The sequence below is a fragment of the Homo sapiens genome, chromosome 10, assembly GCF_000001405.40.
Source record: "Homo sapiens chromosome 10, GRCh38.p14 Primary Assembly".
NCBI classification, from domain to species: Eukaryota; Metazoa; Chordata; class Mammalia; order Primates; family Hominidae; genus Homo; species Homo sapiens.
In genome coordinates this window covers 74,567,464-74,589,318 of record NC_000010.11, presented here as the reverse complement: position 1 = coordinate 74,589,318, position 21,855 = coordinate 74,567,464, and the positions used below count along the sequence as shown (strand labels likewise).

Sequence of the window (21,855 nt, the reverse complement as noted above, 5' to 3'; positions counted from 1 at the left end):
CCTCAAAGCCTTGCTCTCTAGCAAAAGTGGCAGCTTCCTGAAATAAAAAAAAAAAAGAACAGTTAATTATAAAGTGCTCGGTAATGAAGAAATAATCCATTTTTTGAAACTCATTCAGTCTTCTTCTTTACACAATTATCTCAATATACCCACATAGTTCAATTTTTATTCTTACAGCAATAAAGATTTCTTTTTTCCCTTGGAATAATAATAATAAAAAAAGGCAGCCTAATGTCAACACACTTCACAAGTTGGAATAAAGAAGATGTAGTACATGTTTTTACTGTAGCTGCCACAGTGAGTTCAGGTGTTCTGACCTCAGCAAAGAAAGACAATCCAAGGAATATGCTGGTGGTTGTGTTTTTAATTAAAACAATACCTCTCAAAAAGCTCTTATGTAGAGAAGAATGCCTGCTAATAAATGTATAAATTCAGAAAAATCATCTTTTTGCAATCCTCATAACGAAATTTATGCAGGCAAGGATCCTCAGTAGATGTTAAACTCATTGGGTAAAAAGGATGATAGGGAACTGGGTATTTCCATGGAATCAAAGTATCTCAGATTATATGCTGGTCACGGGAGCAAAGCATAACTTTATAATGGAAGGATCAAGCTGTCATCACTTTAACCCAGTGATCGATGCTATCACTTATCATCACTAATAGTGGGATCACCAAATATTCTTTGCCTTCTGTTGTGATGCAGTGTGAAGTTCACACCATCACCTATAAAGTATTCTAACCTAAATACTTTAATATGAATTAATCAAAACTTTAGTCCAGTAACTTGCAGTCTATAAGAAATACAGAGGATAGGGGAACAAGTTAAAGTATACACAGAGAAAGCAACTGAAAACATTCATAGGGTAGGACATTCTGTAGGACAACTAGCTTAATGTTTTTAACAAGTCAATGTAATGTAAAGTAGAAAAGGGAAAATGACCAAGAACAATGTATAAACCTTAATTGGTTTATACAAACCAGCTATAAAAGACATTTTTGGGACAAGGGGAGAAATTTGAATCTGAAATGAAAATTAGGTAATATTAGGAATTATCAGTTTGATTTTAAAAGTCCTTAATTCTTAAGATGAATCCTGAGGTATTTAGAAATGAAATGTCATGATATATGTAATTTATTTTAGAATACTGCAGAAAAAAATTAAAATGAAGCAAAAGTGGCAAAATGTTAACAAGTGTTAAATCTAGATGTATGTGCTATGTAGGGGTCCAATGTCTCCTTTTTTGTTTGAAATTTTTTATAATAAACAGTCCAAAAATCCTCTTTAATATAAGATGACAGGGTAAAAACAGTTGAGCATTAAAAATATGTATGGTTAAAAAATTTTAATATGCAAAGTTCTTCTAGATTTTAAATATCTTAAGGACACAATCTAATGATTATTATATACCCTAAGGCTCTTATAACAGGTTACTAAATGACAAAAATACATATGTGTAATCAAATCCTTTCCCTTTCTTCACTCTTTGTGCTTATACTTTAATTTTAGGACAGATAGAAAAGGGAGGCAATATTACTTTTCAACTCTACTTCCCTCTTGAAAATGAAAAAAAAAAAAAACTGCAGACAACTGTCAAGAGTCTCTACATCTTAACTCACATTCTTCCAAAATTATCTTTGCCAAGAGATATTAATAGAAGGATGGGATTTGAGCCTGAGTAGTGAGCAGATCCAACTCAACTAAAACGACTGTAGCATCAAGCCATGTAAGGCAGAAAGTACAGTCAGTGTCTTCAGCAGAAATTTGGGAAAACATTGGGAAAAAAATACATGTATGCACCTATGGTCCAATGTACTAATAACATATAGGTTAGAGAACCATTTTGAGGATTTAGAAAGGTCAAAATGTATGATTACAGCTAAACACTGAAGTCAACAGGAAGTGTTAAGTTGAAAGTACAACTCCTTACGCTATTTACTAGAGAAACATAAGCCTGACCAAGTTACCCTTAGTTCATGTAGACAAAAATAAGCAAATAAATATTGATCTTGACAACTGGTCAATTTGTGCAAGCAAGGTTAGAACTTTGTACATCACATAGTCAGTAACATTTGCTGGCGGTGATATCAAGGAATAGGAAAAGGTTCAAAAGCTATTGATGTAGTGCTTCCCAAGCTGTCACTCTGAACCAAGCAAATTCTTATATGAAAAAGACAACAAAAAAGCTATACTAGAACCACTTATTTATATGGAACTTCATCAGAGACATGAGAGAACCCCAGGGGACTGTAAGACAAAGTTCAAAGGAAGAATGTGTAGGACTAAAATTGCACTAAGCCATAAATGCTCAAAATTCACATACAGTAAAATTTTTTTAATGTCCAGTTTTGCTCAAATATAAGAAATTAACTGTAAAAAATTTATGTGTGTGTATATGTATATATATGTGTATATAAATATGTGTGTGTGTATATATATACATATATATTTTTTTTTTTTTTTGAGACAGAGCTTTGCTCTTGTAGCCCTGGCTGGAGTGCAGTGGTGCGATCTCAGCTCATTGCAACCTCCGCCTCCTGGGTTAAAGGTATTCTCCTGCCTCAGCCTCCCGAGTAGCTGGAACTACAGGTGTGTGCCACCATGCCCAGCTAATTTTGTATTTTTAGCAGAGATGGGGGTTTCACCATATTGATCAGGCTGGTCTCGAACTCCTGACCTCAGGTGATCCACCTGCCTTGGCCTTCCAAAGTTCTGGGATTACAGGTATGAGTTACTATGCCCAGCCCAAAAAAATTATTTTTAAAAATTAACTGTGATCTGTTATGGTATGGAGCTGACTAACTGCAAGAAGACACATATATAAATGTCAAATCATTATCTTTTAAGGAAACCAGGCCCTAGGACACTTCCATGTCTGTAAACTATTTCAAGCATCAACATATTTCTGACTGAGGAAAGATGTACTTAAAAAAAGTCAACTCAATTTTTTGTCTTAGTGCCCCCTCACACAGGTTTGCTGAGCTGTGCCCTATCACTAGAAAAGCTAAGCTTGTTGTTCTGTGGCTTAAAATGATCTTATCTTCTGACTTCCTCCCACCTTCCTCTGATCTTGGACTGGTGCCCCAAGTCACTCCATTAGAGAAGGCAGCTGGCTCATATCACTGCAGACTTTCCCACAGCTAACCTCTGATCTGAAGGTGTTTGTAGGTACAATGATGGAACAACATTTATTTTTCCCTGTCAGCAAAACAAACAAAACAACACGGGGGAACAGTTTGACCCAGTAAGAATTGTAAGCAGAATTTTAGTTGTCAGATTCATGACATGCAGAGGCAGAAAGAAAAGACATTAGGTCAGAAAGTAAGGAAGAAAGAATAGGCATAGTTGGTGGGCAGAAGAGCAAGACAGGTTCCAAATATCAGAGATAATTCCAAGTGAACTGATCGCACTAAATTGAAAAGGACTTTTTAGTGTGCCTTTGCAGTAAAAGTGAGAAAAGAAAACAAGCAAGTCCCCATCTGTGCTGCCCCAGGGCGCCTCGTACTGAGTTTCACAAATCTAATGAAGCAGTCAGGTTAAAATCCAACCACAGAGTGGATGTGACATGTGGAGAACAGCTCGGGTTAGAATAGAAAAGCAGGGCGGTTCCTAATGCAGGTGATTATCCGTGTGATAATCATTATATTTACAGGCTTTCCATTTTAGATCTGACATCAAAAATCACAAAGGAGGAGGGATTAAGGAAATAAACAACCGACACAGAGGCTTTCCTGCTCCCCTGAGAGTACAGCACTTTCATTCATGCATGACAAGCAACAAAAGCAAAACTAAACAGGCCAGGAAAGAGTATTTCTGAGAAGGCTGGATTTCACATTAACGCTTTTTTTCCATTTTGATAACTTTCACTATTACTCAGTTTCTCAGTCAGGTCACATTTTCAGAATCAGTTCTCATTGTTGTCTATGCTATAATACAGTATCATTTTTGGTTTACAATGAATGATACTCACATAATATGTCCTTTACAAAAACAGACCCATTTTTTCCTTCCTGGAATTGAGTGTTGTGAATAAAATGACATATAATTAAAGTCTTAGACTCTCATCTATACCACACCACTTAGGTTTTGCAGTAGGCTTGCTGCTTCAGCAACCAGGGTAAAACAACAACCAAATATAGTTTTTGAATGGAGGTTAGGGAAAAACTATGTTAATCAGATTAATGAAAACTATGGAATACTTACATTAAGAGCTATTTAAAGGGATCAGCAAGCCACTATTAAAAAGCACAATCCTCAGATTATGCAGGAAAGGAAAGAAACTCAAGTGCATGTTTGCGTATATGAAAGACAACTATGGAGGAGAAAACTTTCTCTATATTTCATCTGATAACACAAGTTCTTACTTATAAAGTAGAATTATCTATAATCAATATTAAACTAAAACCATAACTTGCCCATACTCACTGCAATTCCAATTATTTGTTACTAGTTATATAGAAACACAATGATTTCTGTATACTGACAAGCCAAGGGGGAATGGAGCCACCAGACCAGGTCTGTTTTCTTACTTTGCTTCTTCATCTCTCCATGCAACAAACATTTACCTCCTAAGTGTAGTTTTAGGCTGCTAGCATCTGTGTACATGTGTGTCATTGCTACAGCTGTTACAGGCCTTATAATGATATTAGACTTTGACTCAATAATACTATAACTCCTAAACGGAGTGGTATAGGTTAGAGATTAAGACAGGGGGGTGTCTGTCTTTCTCTACATATATGTATAAAAATCTCTGTATAATAAAAATTCATATAATTGTATATAAATTTAGAGGTATAATATTCTCCTTGAATGGCTTTAAGTGCAACATAGTACTGGTAGGAAGCAATTATAGCCAATGGAAAGAGTACAGGGTCTAGAATCAAAAGGCCTACACTAAGGTCCCAGTTTTACAAATTATTTGCTATGTAATCTTGAGCCAGTCACTCAGTACATCAATTTCTTCATCAATAACATTGGGGTTAACCATACCTATTTCGTTGCATTGTTGCTAGGAATAAATGAAATACTTTATGTGAAACTGAAATCATTTTGCCTATTGAATTCAAGTTCTTGTTAAGATCTCAGGATAAACAAATGAGTGTCAGAGCACCTAGAGTACTTTAATGATCTGTCCCATCTGTGGATTATATGTGTAGGAGGCAGTCTTCAAAATGGTTTTCAATGATCCTTGAACCTGGTATTCAAATCCTTGTACATTCTCCTCCCCTTGAATGTGCTCTAGACCTAGTGACTTGCTTTAACAAATATATGACAAAAGTGATGGTATGTTTTGTTCATCTTCTTGATCACAAGCCTTCTCTCTCTGAGCCCTCGCTCTAGGAGAAATAAGTTGCAATGTTGTGAGGACTATGGAGTGGTGCATGATCAATAACCAGTGAGGATCTGAGGGCTGTGACCGGACATGAGTGGGCTTGGAAGAAGATCCTCCCCTAGCTGAGCAGCAAGATGACTACAAACCTGGTTGACACCTTTATTAAAAGTCTTATGAGAGCCAGAGGCACCAAGCTAAGTAAGCAGTGCCTGGATTCCCTATCCCACATTTTATACATGAGGTTAACAAGAAAAACTCAGGTAATTTCACATTCAAATTATGTTAATAAAAACTTCAAAGTGGCCAGGTGCAGTGGCTCATGCCTGTAATCCCAACATTTTGGGAGGCTGAGGTGGGAGGATTGCTTGTGTCCAGGAATTTGAGACATGCCTGGGCAACATAGCAAGACAACAAAAACCAAAACTTCAAAGCAAGTGTGGTCAGCAAATCAGAGGGTAAGCAAATTCTGGAAAGAAAATTTAGATATATGCTATCTAAATGGCTTTGTATACCTGATTATGGTCAACCATTTCTTCAACACAGATTAACCGGGAGATATTATCCTTTGCATGAAATTTATTTGAAGTTTTAATTCACAATGTCTTCTGTTATTCTGAAGCAATGATTGTTTCTGACACTAAAATAAGAGTATTAAATAGTGCTAGAATCCTCAGGTGAGAAAAACAATATTGAGTCAAAGTCTCCTACCACTAGAATGTCTGCAACAGCTGTAGCAGTGACATAACTAAGTCATGCTGAAATTTAACAATAAAGAACTATCCACTGTGTATTTCTTTTCATACAATATATCACAACATAAAGACTTATACTGCTAAAGCTTCTAAATATTTTCTCATGCTGTCCTTCAAACTATGAGTTACCTTTACTTTATGTTATCTATCAAACCATTTATATACTTTCTTATGATACCACGTTAGTATTATACTATTTTAACTTATGCATTATTTCTGATAAGGAAAAACTTTAATTTGTAAATAAAGTAACTGAAGGCTGGAGAAATTTGTTGCATAAAATGTGAGTCTGGGAACCCCTTTTAAGAGAAATTTCATTCACAAAAGTATCTCTACTAGCTTTTCCAAAGAATATATCATATAACTTTTTGGAGATTTTCAACCTGTGCTCTGACATTTGTTACCATATGCTTCCCGTCTACAGAATGCTGAATAAAAATATTATTTAACATTTTATTGAGTGCCAAAAACTCTATGGGGCAATGCACAGCTATAAAGACACTCATGCCTCTATCCAATAGGTTTATAATAAAAATTAGATAAACAGTATATAAATTATACCTCAATAAACATAACTGAAAAAAATTAAGCAGCCAAAACACAGGCAAAAAAATAAAGTGCAGTTTACAAGAAACTTAACTGTTTCACAAAGTGATTAACTGACTTGTCTATTCTAGCAAGGAGAGTTGTTCATTCCCACTTTTAAGCATATTTAATCTGGTAACTAAAGAACAAATTAAGTTAGGAAAAAGTGCTTCATCAAAACGTAAGACAGACAAGCTACTTAGACTAATTTCTTTCAGAACAACCCAAGTTTTTAGTATTAAAGAACAAGAAGAAAGAGGCTAGCATAAGAAAAATGTTAGGATAGTAGCCCTATTATTGGGAATTTTATTTCCATTTTTATTTTTTATTTTTTTTTTGAGATTGGGTCTCACTCTGTTGCCCAGGATGGAATACAGTGGCAGGATCACAGCTTACTTTAGCCTCAACCTCCCAGGCTCACCTCAGCCTCCCAAACAGTTGGCACTACAGGTATGCACCACCATGCTCAGCTAATTTTTGTATTTTTTTGTAGAGACAGGGTTTTGCCATGTTGCCCAGGCAGGTTATTTCCATTTTTAATGAGATAATACGTGGTTGGTATAAAGAAGACATTCAATGAATGTCAGTTCTTTTCCTTTCTATCATTGGATTCTCACGAAACCCCTAAAAATTAGCATTATTTTTATCTTACAGATGAAAATTTGAAGGTTCAGAGAGATTCAAGTATGTCCAAGGCCATACAGCAGGTAATTGTTACAGGCAGCATTTAGATCTGAGGCTTTCTGAATGGTCTCCTGCTGATGAACTCTTTCAGGTTTTATACGTCTGAAAAAGTATTCTGCTTTTGTTTTTGAAAGGTATTTTCACTGGGTCTAGAATTCTGGGTTAATATTCTCTTTCCTTCTGTGTTCCAAGGTCTAGCTTGCATTGTTTCTGTTGAGGAGACTGCTGCTATTCTTATCTTTGTTTCTCTGTATGTAATGCATTTTTGTTGTTGTTGTTGTTGTTTTTAGAAACCTAGCTACTTTAAGTTTTTTTTCTTTATTACTGATCTTATGCAATTTGATTATGTTCCTTGGTGTAGCTTTTCAGTGTTTCTTCTGCTTTTGGTTTGTTGAGCTTTTTGGATTTGTGGGTTTACAGTTATTATCAAATTTGGAAAAATTTCAGCCCTTATGTCTTCAAATATTTTTTCTGTCTCCCTGCCCCATCCGTAGTCTTTATATATTTGATCATCTAAAGTTGTCTCACAGCTCACAGTGACACTGCTTGTTTTTCCAGTCTTTTTTTCCCTCTAGGTGTTTCATTTTGAACAATTGCTATTGCTATGTCTTCAAGATCCTTAATCTTTTCTTCTGTAGTGCCACATCTTACCCAGTGAACTTTTCACCTCAGACATGGTATTTTTTATTTCTAGAAATTAGGTCTTTTTTTACATTTCCCACATTACTCTTTAATAGGATTATGTTTTTATTTACCTTCTTGAAATACATAATATATTTAGAAATGCTGTTTTAACATCTTTGTCAACGAATCCTAACATCTGTATCATTTCTAAATCCATTTCTATTAATATTTCTCCTCATTATGGGTTGTATTTTCCTGCTTCTTCGCATGAATGGTTATATATACGTGTGTGTGTGTGTGTGTGTGTGTGTGTGTGTGTATTTATTATTGATTGACTGAGATAGGGTCTTGCTGTGTTGCACAGGCTGGCCTCAAAATCCTGGGCTCAAGCTATCTTCTTGTTTCCACCTCTCAAGTAGCTAGAAACTACAGGCATTTGTCACTGTGCCTGGCTTACTTATTTATTTTTTAACAATGCCTTTCTCAGGTAATGAAAGGTAATTTTTGATTGGATAACAGACATTATGAATTTTATGTTTTAGGTGTAGAATATTGTATTAGTCCATTTTCATGCTGCTGATAAAGACATACCCAAGACTGGGCAGTTTACAAAAGAAAGAGGTTTATTTGGACTTAGAGTTCCATGTGGCTGGGGAAGCCTCACAATCATGGCAGAAGGCAAGGAGGAGCACGTCACATCTTACATGGATGACAGCAGGCAAAGAGAGAGAGCTTGTGCAGGGTAACTCCTTTTTTTTTTTTTTTTAGATGGAGTTTTGCTCTTGTTGCCCAGGCTGAAGTGCAATGGCATGATCTCAGCTCACTGTAACCTCTGCCTTCTGGGTTCAAGCAATTCTCCTGCCTCAGCCTCTCAAGTAGCTGGGATTACAGGCGTGTGCCACCATGCCTGGCTAATTTTGTATTTTTAATAGAGATGGGGTTTCACCATGTTGGTCAAGCTGGTTTTGAATTCCTGACCTCAAGTGATCCACCTGCCTTGGACTCCCAAAATGCTGGGATTACAGGTGTGAGCCACCGTGCCTGGCCAGGAACTCCTCTTTTTAAAACCATCAGATCTCATGAGACTTATACACTACCATGAGAATAGGATGGGAAAGACTTGCTCCCATGATTCAATTACCTCCCACTGGGTCCCACAACACGTGGGAATTCAAGGTGAGATTTGGATGGGGACACAGCCAAACCATATCAAATATTTTGTTTCTCATTATATATTTTCAGGGCTACTCTAATGGCCCTAACTTTACTCTGAAATTCAGTTGGTTACTCAAAAACAACTTGATTCTTTACAAGCTTATTTAGAAGCTTTACTAGGTGAGATGAGAGCAGCTCTTAATCTAGAGCTAATATTGTCCCCAACTGATGTAATATTCTTTTGAGTACTAAAAAAGATGTCCAATTTATTAGAGGCTTTTCCACTGTGATTATTGGGGCTATAAACTATTATTAATCTTATCTGAGTTCAGGAAATGTTCCACTTATTCCTTTCCAGTGGCTTTATCCCTGTCCCTAAGTAGTTTCCTAGCATACTTATGTGGTTCAGTACTTGGCTTAAAAATCAAGGGGAGCCCTCTGCAGATATCCAGTGTGTGTGCTCTATCTCTGTGGAGCTCTGTCTTCTCTCGCACTGTCTCATGCAAATTCTAGCCACCTTGGCTTTGTCTCCATTCAGTTGGGCCACTGGGTTCTTTCTGTTTTGGATCTCCTTCCTGCAGACTACAGACTGGAAGCTATCTAGGCAGAATGCTATGGAAATTGTAGGGATGCCTCATTCATTTTCTCTCAGGGATCACTGCCCAGTATTGTCTAGTGTCTAAAAACTCTTATGTTATATACCTTGTCTGGTTTTTGCATTGTTTGAGGAGGGAGGATAAATCTGGCCACTCTTACTCCAGTACATCCAGCAGAAGTTCAGTGTGGATCCATTTTAAAGTATTACATGCTAAAGGATCCTGCCATATTCAGTAAGTCTGCAATCCTCCATTTATTAGTTTAAAAAAATGTATCAGGACATTTTTTGGACAAGACCACTTGATCAGATATATTAAATGTGTCTTACCTTGTTCTTCACTTTTTTTTTTTTTTTAAGACAGGGTCTCACTCTGTTGCCCAGGCTGGAGTGCAGTGGCATGATCTCAGCTCACTGCAACCTCTGCCTCCCCGGTTCAAGCGATTCTCATGCCTCAGTCTCCCTAGAAGCTGGGACTACAGACACACGCCACCACACCCGGCTAATTTCTGTATTTTCAGTAGAGATGGGGTTTTGCCATGTTGGCCAGGCTGGTCTTGAACTCCTGATCTCAGGTGATCCACCTGCCTCGGCCTCCCAAAATGTTGGAATTACATGCCACCATAAGCCTGTACCAAACATGTACATGTAAAAATATGGTGGCTAAGATGTAGCCACCATGTCCAGCTACATTTTATTTTATGAAGGATATAGTTCTTGATGTATTAAACCATAAACATTCTACTTTACCATAATCTACATTTGACATGCTCTGAAGAATTACCTACTCAGTTCTGAATCCTCCTTTATTTTACATATTCTATATTACTGTAATTTTCTTGCTTTTTGTCTTACCAACTAGAAAGTTCTGTATAGCTAATACATCTTCACTTTTTTTTCCCTGGTCCTCTCTTCCAACCAACAGAGGGCTCTACCATAATGTATAATCAATACATTATGCTAGGATCAGCAACCTACAGCCTATAGGACAAATTCATCCTGCCACCTGTTTTTATAAAGTCTTATTGGAATACAGCAAATGACTATTTGTTTCCATATTATCTATGGTTGCTTTTATGCTACCACAGACAGAGTTGAAGTAGAGTAGCTTAACAGAGACCATACTACTTGGACTTTCATTAAAAAAAATGTTTGCTAGGCTGGACATGGTGGCTGTTAGCCTTAAGATAAGTAAAATGTATATCTTTTGACAGGACTTCCTTCATTCATTGGCAACACAATTTAAAAACCAAATAACTTATATTAATAAAAAGGCACTAAAAGACAAGATAAATAATCAATTTTTTATAAGTTTAGATACCTGCTTATGTAAAATAATGAGAAAGAATTCACTGATCAGTGCTTAAAATTAGATGAAAAGAAGAAAGAAGACCTCAGATGGGGAGAGATCAGCACCCTTGTTAAGTGCTTTTCTAATAATTCCTTCCACTTTGTTCAAATGTGAACCAATGTCCTTTTATATATTTTCCACATCCACATCCCATGGCCCTTCCCAAGTTGTCAAGGTGTGATAATCATTGCCACTATAAGTCTCATCCTCCAGGGCTACTCTAATGGCCGTAACTTACTCTACTCTGGAAGTTTTACAAAATTCACTCTTGAAAAAAAGTAAAAACAAAATGGAAACTCTACATAAAACACAAAAATGAACAAATATACAGGGTACAGTTTTATTTTTTAAACTACTGTGAGTAAAGTGGTAAGAGTAAGGTGTGAGATGTTCTAGATGAATATGAACTTTAAAGAGAGAGCGCTAGTTTTTAGCTATTTTGACTAGAACATATCACAAAAGGTCTACTACTCTTTGGCACTTTTGATTTTTAGAGGGAGAAGAGGGAATAGAACTAGAAATTCCAGTAATATTCACAGTCTAAAATAGTACTGGATAAAATAAAAAAAGAAACTTATAGGACTACATTGTAATTTTTTTTTAATGTAACAAAATGGAGTAAAAACAGAGCAGCATCTACTTTCCTACATCTAGTGAAAAATAAAGGTAATATCCCCCAGGTCAGAATTTTTACCTATGGATAGCACAACCCATCTAAATACTACCAAAAGCCTCTTCAGAGGTAGCAATAGTTGAAAGAAAAAAGATAAGAAAAAAAAATCTTTAATAAAGCTAACATATAAAATCAACAAATATTACCAATAACCAGTATTATTTTCTTCTTTCTTGCCAGCTGATTCATAGTAATTATGTACAGAGTGTATTGTAATGTGGCTGTCTTAGAAACAAATACACCATAGACAAGATTTTTCACAATGGCCAGTGGGAATTAGCAAGGACAGCCATAGAAATAATCAATACAGGTCTCTTAAGTAAAAAACAAAACTACCCCACATCTACAAAGAAGTCAGAGAGAAAAATCTAACATGCTTGAAAAAGAAATTGGCCAAATGTACAAGTTAGACTACACACACACACACACACACACACACACACACACACACACACAGAGAAATAATACAAAACACTAAGTGGAGCATGTAGTAGATGGTGAATAAATACTAAATTGAAAGTAGGTACCACTGCTATATGGAAAAGAAACAGGTTTTAAGAGATACTGAATACTTCTGCAAAGTTCATACTGCATTTAATAATGAAATAGCCAATTATCTTAGGAGCCAATTATCCCAAAACAGAATCAAGAAATGTATCTACCATGTAGACCCTCCTTTCAGAATGTGAGATAACACATTATCCAACCTTAGTGCCTGCTTGTGGTATTCTGTAGTCTCCATGACAAAGAATGAGTTCTGCTTGGGTATCAACAACACAATGGAAATTGAAGGTAATACAGCATTTAGGTGGTTACAAAGTAGTGGCATTTCTGTTGTACCGAACATTATAAAGCGACTGGGCTAACAGATGAGATGTAAAATTAACTTTTTGTTAACAGCCATCTGACTTATGATAAATAATACTACAAATTCCACCTACACTTATCTCAGAAACTTTTCTCACGGGTCACCAACCTCAGTCTTTCTTCTTGACCTTTTTGAATAGGACTTGATCTCATTTTTTCCAGGGAAGAAGGATTTCTGCATAGTGTAACATTTAGAAATATTTATTTAAGATATAAATTGAGTATTAATTCCCTTTTATTCTTTCAGAGATTTAATTTTAACTCCCATCCAAAATTTCTTAGCATCTCCTATTACTTTTCATTTTGTGGTTAAATATTTTTCTTTTAGGTCTTTTGTCAATTTTCCCCATGCACTCTAGCATATTTAATTGCTCTCTTTTGGATCTTCCAACTCCACTGGATAATTTAATACATGAAAAATGAGACTTCATCGATATTTTAGAATTTGAATTTCCCCACCCTTTCCTAGGAACTCTCTTCCCTTCTTTTCTGTTGCATATCTTTATTCCCATTCTCTCACTTTTCTGTTGCTTATCTTATTTGCTACATTCCCTAAATGCAGTCTTTCTCTAAAAGTTCAGTTTTTAACTTTCCAATCTTTTCTCTTTACTTTTTTTTCTCTGGGGTGGGGGGTAACTTCTATTATTCCTTTCCTTTAACATTGTAAGATATCCTGCCTCACTTTCTGTGTCCTTTTGACACTTTCTCTTTCTTCAAGTTCTGTCAAGTCCATTTTATATGCATAAATCCTATAATACCTAAAACTCTTGTTTCCAATCCTACTCACTCAAAACTAGGTCAGGCCTGTATTAATTCTTACTCAGGTTATTGTTGTAGTCTCTTAACCAGTCTCCAGTACTAGTCTCACTCAGTTTGAAGGCATCCTTGCACACAACTGTTAGATTCATCCTCCTAAATATCAACTCTAATTAGCTTTTGCTTGAAAAAACTAACTACTGCTTCCTGATAAAAGTTCCAGTTCCACAGTCTGACTTTCAGAGGTCCTTCGTAACCTGCCCCTACTTTTCCTTTCCAGCCAGATCTTTTACTATTCCCTTATATACGTACCAGGTGCCACTCAAACTAGAATACTTGCTATTCTCTGAACATGCCCCAGGCTTTTTTGCCTTCATGCTGCCTCGCACATGTAGGTACTAAGTGAATTAGAATACCTTCAACCACTCTTGTCAAAATCCTACCCATCCCTCCAGGGTTAGTTCAGCCATCTTTTGCATAACAGAAGTCTTCTTGAATTGTTCATGTTCTCTCCTTTCTCTACCTCCAGGAGTGGCTTTCTGCATTGTAAAAGAATTTGGCTCAAGTTGTAAAGGCTTCTTTTATAACAATTATGTGCAGACTGCAGACACAGTTATTTGTATAGATAGCTTATCTCCTCTACTAGATTATACATTCTTGGTGCAGAAACTCTTTTTCATTTAGTATCCTCAAAGCATCTAACATACTACTCTGCAAAGAATAGATAATAAATCCTTGCTGATTTACCAAATAGCAAGGATAAAGCACTCACCTACATTAAGCAAAGAAGAAAAGAGAAGCCCTCAAATAAATCTGCATTAGATTGACACTGACTTGATTTTTTTGTGGTTCATACTTAATTTTGGGGATCAGAGTTGACTGACTTTAGTGGTCTGAATATTCTTCTATTATGCTATTTCTTATGTTGCATTATAATTTATTTGTACTCTGTTTCCCCCCCACCTAGTTTATCAGCTTCTTCAAAACAAAGTTTTCTATCACATCCTAAAACTGCCTCACACATAGTATGAATTAAGTAAATGTGCATTAGAATGAGTTAATTTGATTATTCTAGTAGTAGAATCTTTGCTTACAAAGGTAAAAAATTTTTCTACTCATATGCATTAACAGTTTCAGGGATGGTAGCAAAGATCTGACTAAAAACTTGGGAAAGTGCTAGTCTGATGTGTTCTATAAGAGTATTTATGCAATTCATATTTTGTGCCATTCCTGCAGTTGTCCTGCTGTGGGAAGTTATCCTGAAGGATTATGGTATTGTTTCATTTCCAATATCAAACAAAATCAGGGAAAGAGATTTTCCTGAAAGAATATTGCATTTAAATCTTTAATTACAGTTGTATTTTCAACGATGTATGCAGTCCAGACATTACTGGTAGATACTGGATATCAAAGAGTACAATAAAGCAGAATAGCAAAGCCAAAGCCAAATGTTTTGCTATGAAAGTAGCAAGAATGGCCAGGCACAGTGGCTCATGCCTGTAATCCCAGCACTTTGGGAGGCTGAGGCAGGCAGATCACGAGGTCAAGAGAGCGAGACCATCCTGGCCAACAAGGTGAAACCCCGTCTCTACTAAAAATACAAAAATTAACAGGGCGTGGTGGCATGCGCCTGTAGTCCCAGCTACTTGGGAGGCTGAGGCAGGAGAATCGCTTCAATGTCGGAGGTGGATGGAGGTTGCGGTGAGCTGAGATCGCACCACTGTACTCCAGCCTGGTGGCTGAGTGAGAATCTTTCTCAAAAAAAAAAAAAAAAAAAGAAAGAAAGTAGCGGAGCCAAGATGGCCAAATGGGAACAGCTCCAGTCTACAGCTCCCAGTGTGAGCGACGCAGAAAACGTGTGATTTCTGCATTTCCATTTGGGGTACCGGGTTCATCTCACTAGGGAGTGCCAGACAGTGGGCGCAGGACAGTGGGTGCAGCGCACTGTGCGTGAGCCAAAGCAGGGCGAGGCATTGCCTCACTCGGGAAGCGCAAGGGGTCAGGGAGTTCCCTTTCCTAGTCAAAGAAAGGGGTGACAGACGGCACCTGGAAGATCGGGTCATTCCCACCTCAATACTGCGCTTTTCCAACAGGCTTAAAAAATGGCGCACCAGGAGATTATATCCCGCACCTGGCTCGGAGGGTCCTACGCCCATGGAGTCTCGCTGATTGCTAGCACAGCAGTCTGAGATCAAACTGCAAGGCAGCAGCGAGGCTGGGGGAGGGGCGCCCGCCATTGCCGAGGCTTGCTTGGGTAAACAAAGCAGCCAGGAAGCTCCAACTGGGTGGAGCTCACCACAGCTCAAGGAGGCCTGCCTGCCTCTGTAGGCTCCACCTCTGGGGGCAGGGCACAGACAAACAAAAAGACAGCAGTAACCTCTGCAGACTTAAATGTCCCTATCTGACAGCTTTGAAGAGAGCAGTGGTTCTCCCAGCACGCAGATGGAGATCTGAGAACGGGCAGACTGCCTCCTCAAGTGGGTCCCTGACCGCTGACCCCTGAGCAGCCTAACTGGGAGGCATCCCCCAGTAGGGGCAGACTGACACCTCACACGGCCGGGCACTCCTCTGAGACAAAAATTCCAGAGGAACAATCAGACAGCAGCATTTGTGGTTCACGAAAATCTGCTGTTCTGCAGCCACCGCTGCTGATACCCAGGCAAACAGGGTCTGGAGTGGACCTCTAGCAAACTCCAACAGACCTGCAGCTGAGGGTCCTGTCTGTTAGAAGGAAAACTAACAAACAGAAAGGACATCCACACCAAAAACCCGTCTGTACATCACCATCATCAAAGACCAAAAGTAGATAAAACCACAAAGATGGGGAAAAAACAGAGCAGAAAAACTGGAAACTCTAAAAAGCAGAGCGCCTCTCCTCCTCCAAAGGAACGCAGCTCCTCAGCAGCAACGGAACAAAGCTGGATGGAGAATGACTTTGACGAGTTGAGAGAAGAAGGCTTCAGATGATCAAACTACTCCGAGCTACAGGAGGAAATTCAAACCAAAGGCAAAGAAGTTGAAAACTTTGAAAAAAATTTAGATGAATATATAACTAGAATAACCAATATAGAGAAGTGCTTAAAGGAGCTGATGGAGCTGAAAGCCAAGGCTCGAGAACTACGTGAAGAATGCAGAAGCCTCAGGAGCCGATTCGATCAACTGGAAGAAAGGGTATCAGTGATGGAAGATGAAATGAATGAAATGAAGCGAGAAGGGAAGTTTAGAGAAAAAAGAATAAAAAGAAACAAACAAAGCCTCCAAGAAATATGGGACTAAGTGAAAAGACCAAATCTACGTCTGATTTGTGTACCTGAAAGTGACGGGGAGAATGGAACCAAGTTGGAAAACACTCTGCAGGATATTATCCAGGAGAACTTCCCCAATCTAGCAAGGCAGCCAACATTCAGATTCAGCAAACACAGAGAATGCCACAAAGATACTCCTCGAGAAGAGCAACTCCAAGACACATAACTGTCAGATTCACCAAAGTTGAAATGAAGGAAAAAATGTTAAGGGCAGCCAGAGAGAAAGGTCGGGTTACCCACAAAGGGAAGCCCATCAGACTAACAGCAGATCTCTCGGCAAAAACTCTAAAAGCCAGAAGAGAGTGGGGGCCAATATTCAACATTCTTAAAGAAAAGAATTTTCAACACAGAATTTCATATCCAGCCAAACTAAGCTTCATAAGTGAAGGAGAAATAAAATACTTTACAGACAAGCAAATGCTGAGAGATTTTGTCACCATCAGGCCTGCCCTAAAAGAGCTCCTGAAGGAAGCACTAAACATGGAAAGGAACAACCGGTACCAGCCACTGCAAAATCATGCCAAATTGTAAAGACCATCGAGGCTAGGAAGAAACTGCATCAACTAACGAGCAAAATAACCAGCTAACATCATAATGACAGGATCAAATTCACACATAACAATATTAACCTTAAATGTAAATGGGCTAAATGCTCCAATTAAAAGACACCGACTGGCAAACTGGATAAAGAGTCAAGACCCATCAGTGTGCTGTATTCAGGAAACCCATCTCACGTGCAGAGACACACATAGGCTCAAAACTAACATCACAATTAAAAGAACTAGAAAAGCAAGAGCAAACACATTCAAAAGCTAGCAGAAGGCAAGAAATAACTAAAATCAGAGCAGAACTGAAGGAAATAGAGACACAAAAAACCCTTCAAAAAATTAATGAATCCAGGAGCTGCTTTTTTGAAAGGATCAACAAAATTGATAGACCGCTAGCAAGACTAATAAAGAAAAAAAGAGAGAAGAATCAAATAGACGCAATAAAAAATAAGGGGATATCACCACCGATCCCACAGAAATACAAACTACCATCAGAGAATACTATAAACACCTCTACGCAAATAAACTAGAAAATCTAGAAGAAATGAATAAATCCCTCGACACATACACCCTCCCAAGACTAAACCAGGAAGAAGTTGACTCTCTGAATAGACGAATAACAGGCTCTGAAATTGTGGCAATAATCAATAGCTTACCAACCAAAAAGAGTCCAGGACCAGATGGATTCACAGCTGAATTCTACCAGAGGTACAAGGAGGAGCTGGTACCATTCCTTCTGAAACTATTCCAATCAATAGAAAAAGAGGGAATCCTCCCTAACTCATTTTATGAGGCCAGCATCATCCTGATACCAAAGCCTGGCAGAGACACAACAAAAAAAGAGAATTTTAGACCAATATCCTTGATGAACATCAATGCAAAAATCCTCAATAAAATACTGGCAAACCGAATCCAGCAGCACATCAAAAAGCTTATCCACCATGATCAAGTGGGCTTCATCCCTGGGATGCAAAGCTGGTTCAATATACGCAAATCAATAAATGTAATCCAGCATATAAACAGAACCAAAGACAAAAACCACATGATTATCTCAATAGATGCAGAAAAGGCCTTTGATAAAATTCAACAACTCTTCATGCTAAAAACTCTCAATAAATTAGGTATTGATGGGACGTATCTCAAAATAATAACAGCTATCTATGACAAACCCATAGCCAGTATCATACTGAATGGGCAAAAACTGGAAGCATTCCCTTTGAAAATGGGCACAAGACAGGGATGCCCTCTCTCACCACTCCTATTCAACATAGTGTTGGAAGTTCTGGCCAGGGCAATCAGGCAGGAGAAGGAAATAAAGGGTATTCAATTAGGAAAAGAGGAAGTCAAATTGTCCCTGTTTGAGATGACATGATTGTATATCTAGAAAACCCCATCGTCTCAGCCCAAAATCTCCTTAAGCTGATAAGCAACTTCAGCAAAGTCTCAGGATACAAAATCAATATGCAAAAATCACAAGCATTCTTATACACCAATAACAGACAAACAGAGCCAAATCATGAGTGAAATCCCATTCACAATTGCTTCAAAGAGAATAAAATACCTAGGAATCCAACTTACAAGGGATGTGAAGGACCTCTTCAAGGAGGGACCTCTTCAAGGAGAACTACAAACCACTGCTCAATGAAATAAAAGAGGATACAAACAAATGGAAGAACATTCCATGCTCATGGGTAGGAAGAATCAATATTGTGAAAATGGCCATATTGCCCAAGGTAATTTATAGATTCAATGCCATCCCCATCAAACTGCCAATGACTTTCTTCACAGAATTGGAAAAAACTACTTTAAAGTTCATATGGAATCAAAAAAGAGCCCGCATCGCCAAGTCAATCCTAAGCCAAAAGAACAAAGCTGGAGGCATCACGCTACCTGACTTCAAACTATACTACAAGGCTATAGTAACCAAAACAGCATGGTACTGGTACCAAAACAGAGATATAGATCAATGGAACAGAACAGAGCCCTCAGAAATAACGCCGCATATCTACAACTATCTGATCTTTGACAAACCTGACAAAAACAAGCAATGGGGAAAGGATTCCCTATTTAATAAATGGTGCTGGGAAAACTGGCTAGCCATAAGTAGAAAGCTGAAACTGGATCCCTTCCTTACACCTTATACAAAAATTAATTCAAGATGGATTAAAGACTTAAATGTTAGACCTAAAACCATAAAAACCCTAGAAGAAAACCTAGGCAATACCATTCAGGACATAGGCATGGGCAAGGACTTCAAATCTAAGACACCAAAAGCAATGGCAACAAAAGTCAAAATTGACAAATGGGATCTGATTAAGCTAAAGAGCTTCTGCACAGCAAAAGAAACTACCATCAGAGTGAACAGGCAACCTACAGAATAGGAGAAAATTTTTGCAATCTGCTCATCTGACAAAGGGCTAATATCCAGAATCTACAATGAACTCCAACAAATTCACAAGAAAAAAACAGCCTCATCAAAAAGTGGGCGAAGGATATGAACAGACACTTCTCAAAAGAAGACATTTTTGCAGCCAAAAGACACATGAAAAAATGCTCATCATCATTGGCCATCAGAGAAATGCAAATCAAAACCACAATGAGATACCATCTCACACCAGTTAGAATGGCGATCATTAAAAAGTCAGGAAACAGCAGGTGCTGGAGAGGATGTGGAGAAATAGAAACACTTTCACACTGTTGGTGGGACTGTAAACTAGTTCAACCATTGTGGAAGTCAGTGTGGCGATTCCTCAGGGATCTAGAACTAGAAATACCATTTGACCCAGCAATCCCACTACTGGGTATATACCCAAGGGATTATAAATCATGCTGCCATAAAGACACATGCACACGTATGTTTATTGCGGCACTATTCACAATAGCAAAGACTTGGAACCAACCCAAATGTCCAACAATGATAGACTGGATTAAGAAAACGTGGCACATGTACACCATGGAATACTATGCAGCCATAAAAAATGATGAGTTCATGTCTTTTGTAGGGACATGGATGAAGCTGGAGACCATCATTCTCAGCAAACTACTGCAAGGACAAAAAGCCAAACAATGCATGTTCTCACTCATAGGTGGGAATTGAACAATGAGAACACATGGACACAGGAAGGGGAACATCACACACCGGGGCCTGTTGTGGGGTTGGGGGAGGGGGGAGGGATAGCATTTGGAGATATACCTAATGTTAAATGACGAGTCACTGGGTGCAGCACACCAACATGGCACACGTATACATATGTAACTAACCTGCACGTTGTGCACATGTACCCTAAAACTTAAAGTATAATAAAAAAAAGATAAAAATATAAAAAGTACAAATAACTATTATACAGAATTATAATACCTAGGCATTTGAAATAAAAATAAAATAATTCTGTATTCATAAGACCAAATAAATATTTTTATTAAAAAATAGAACATGTAAAAAAAAAAAAAAGAAATAACCATAGAAATGGGCAACCAGCAGTCCTCAGGGCTGCTCTGTCTATGGAGTAGCCATTCTTTTATTCTCTTACTTTCTTAATAAACTTGCTTTTGCTTTGCACTGTGGACTTGCCCTGAATTCTTTCTTGTGCAAGATCCAAGAACTTTCTCTTGGGTTCTGGATTAGGACCCCTTTCCTGTAACAGATGGAGCCTAGATTCTGAGCAACTGTGGAGGCAACACCGTATCAGAGCCAAATCCTGTACCTCCTAGGAGAAAAAGTTCTCAACATTGATGCTGACTGTACTTGCAATAAAGTGAGGAGATGACAATGAAAAAAAAATTAAGGGGAAAGCAATATTTAAAGTCAGAATATAATACATAAAGGATGTCCAATCTTTTGGCTTCCTTTGGTCACAATTAAAAGAAAAAGAATTGTCTTGGGCCACACATAAAATGTACAAACACTAACAACAGCTGATGAGCTAAACACACACACACACCCAGCAACACCCACCTCATAATCTTTTAACAAAGTTTATGAATTTGTGTTAGGCTGCATTCAAAGCCATCCAGGGCTGCATGTGGCCCATGGGTCATAGTTTGGACAAGCTTGTACTACACTGTAATTGGAATTAAAAAGAGAGAGAATAGGGCCTGGCGCGGTGGCTCAGGCCTGTAATCCCAGCACTTTGGGAAGCTGAGGCGGGCGGATTACGAGGTCAGGAGATTGAGACCATCCTGGCTAACTCGGTGAAACTCTGCCTCTACTAAAAATACAAAAAAATTAGCTGGGCGTGGTGGCAGGCGCCTGTAGTCCTAACTACTCAGGAGGCTGAGGCAGGAGAATGGCGTGAATCTGGGAGGCGGAGGTTGCAGTGAGCTGAGATCGCGCCACTGCACTCCAGCCTGGGCGACAGAGCGAGACTCCATCTCAAAAAAAAAAAAAAAAACAAAAAAAACAAAAAAAACAGAGAGAGAGAGAACAAAAGAAATGGGAAATGTGAAATTTGATCAAAGTCTCAACAAATGGGCACAATTTTAGGCAAAGTTGTTATATGTATAAGAAAGGATAGAGTGGTATGAAAAATGAGACGTGTGTCCTGAGAATAGCAAGTAAGTAGTCCATTTGCCTGGCCCATAAAATATGAGCAGAGGAGTGGAAAGTACTAAGATTTGAAAGGCAGAT

At 38.1% G+C, this 21,855-nt stretch overlaps 1 protein-coding gene across 13 annotated transcripts in view, besides 1 other annotated feature; it reads right to left on the bottom strand.

The window, feature by feature from the left end:
• The window catches only part of ADK (adenosine kinase), a 558,070-nt gene that overhangs the window by 119,972 nt on the left and 416,243 nt on the right, over nt 1-21,855 (bottom strand). For all 13 annotated transcript variants that reach the window (NM_006721.4, NM_001369123.1, NM_001202450.2 and 10 more), the window contains one exon: nt 2-37. In NM_006721.4, the coding sequence (NP_006712.2) occupies nt 2-37 (36 nt within the window). The remainder of the gene's footprint in view (nt 1; nt 38-21,855) is intronic.
• Nucleotides 3,626-3,795: an enhancer, noted in NCBI's record as "active region_3596". NCBI's record gives its function as "activates an Ori minimal core promoter by ATAC-STARR-seq in GM12878 lymphoblastoid cells {active_cell/tissue: GM12878}" and the evidence as "EXISTENCE:reporter gene assay evidence [ECO:0000049][PMID:35858748]".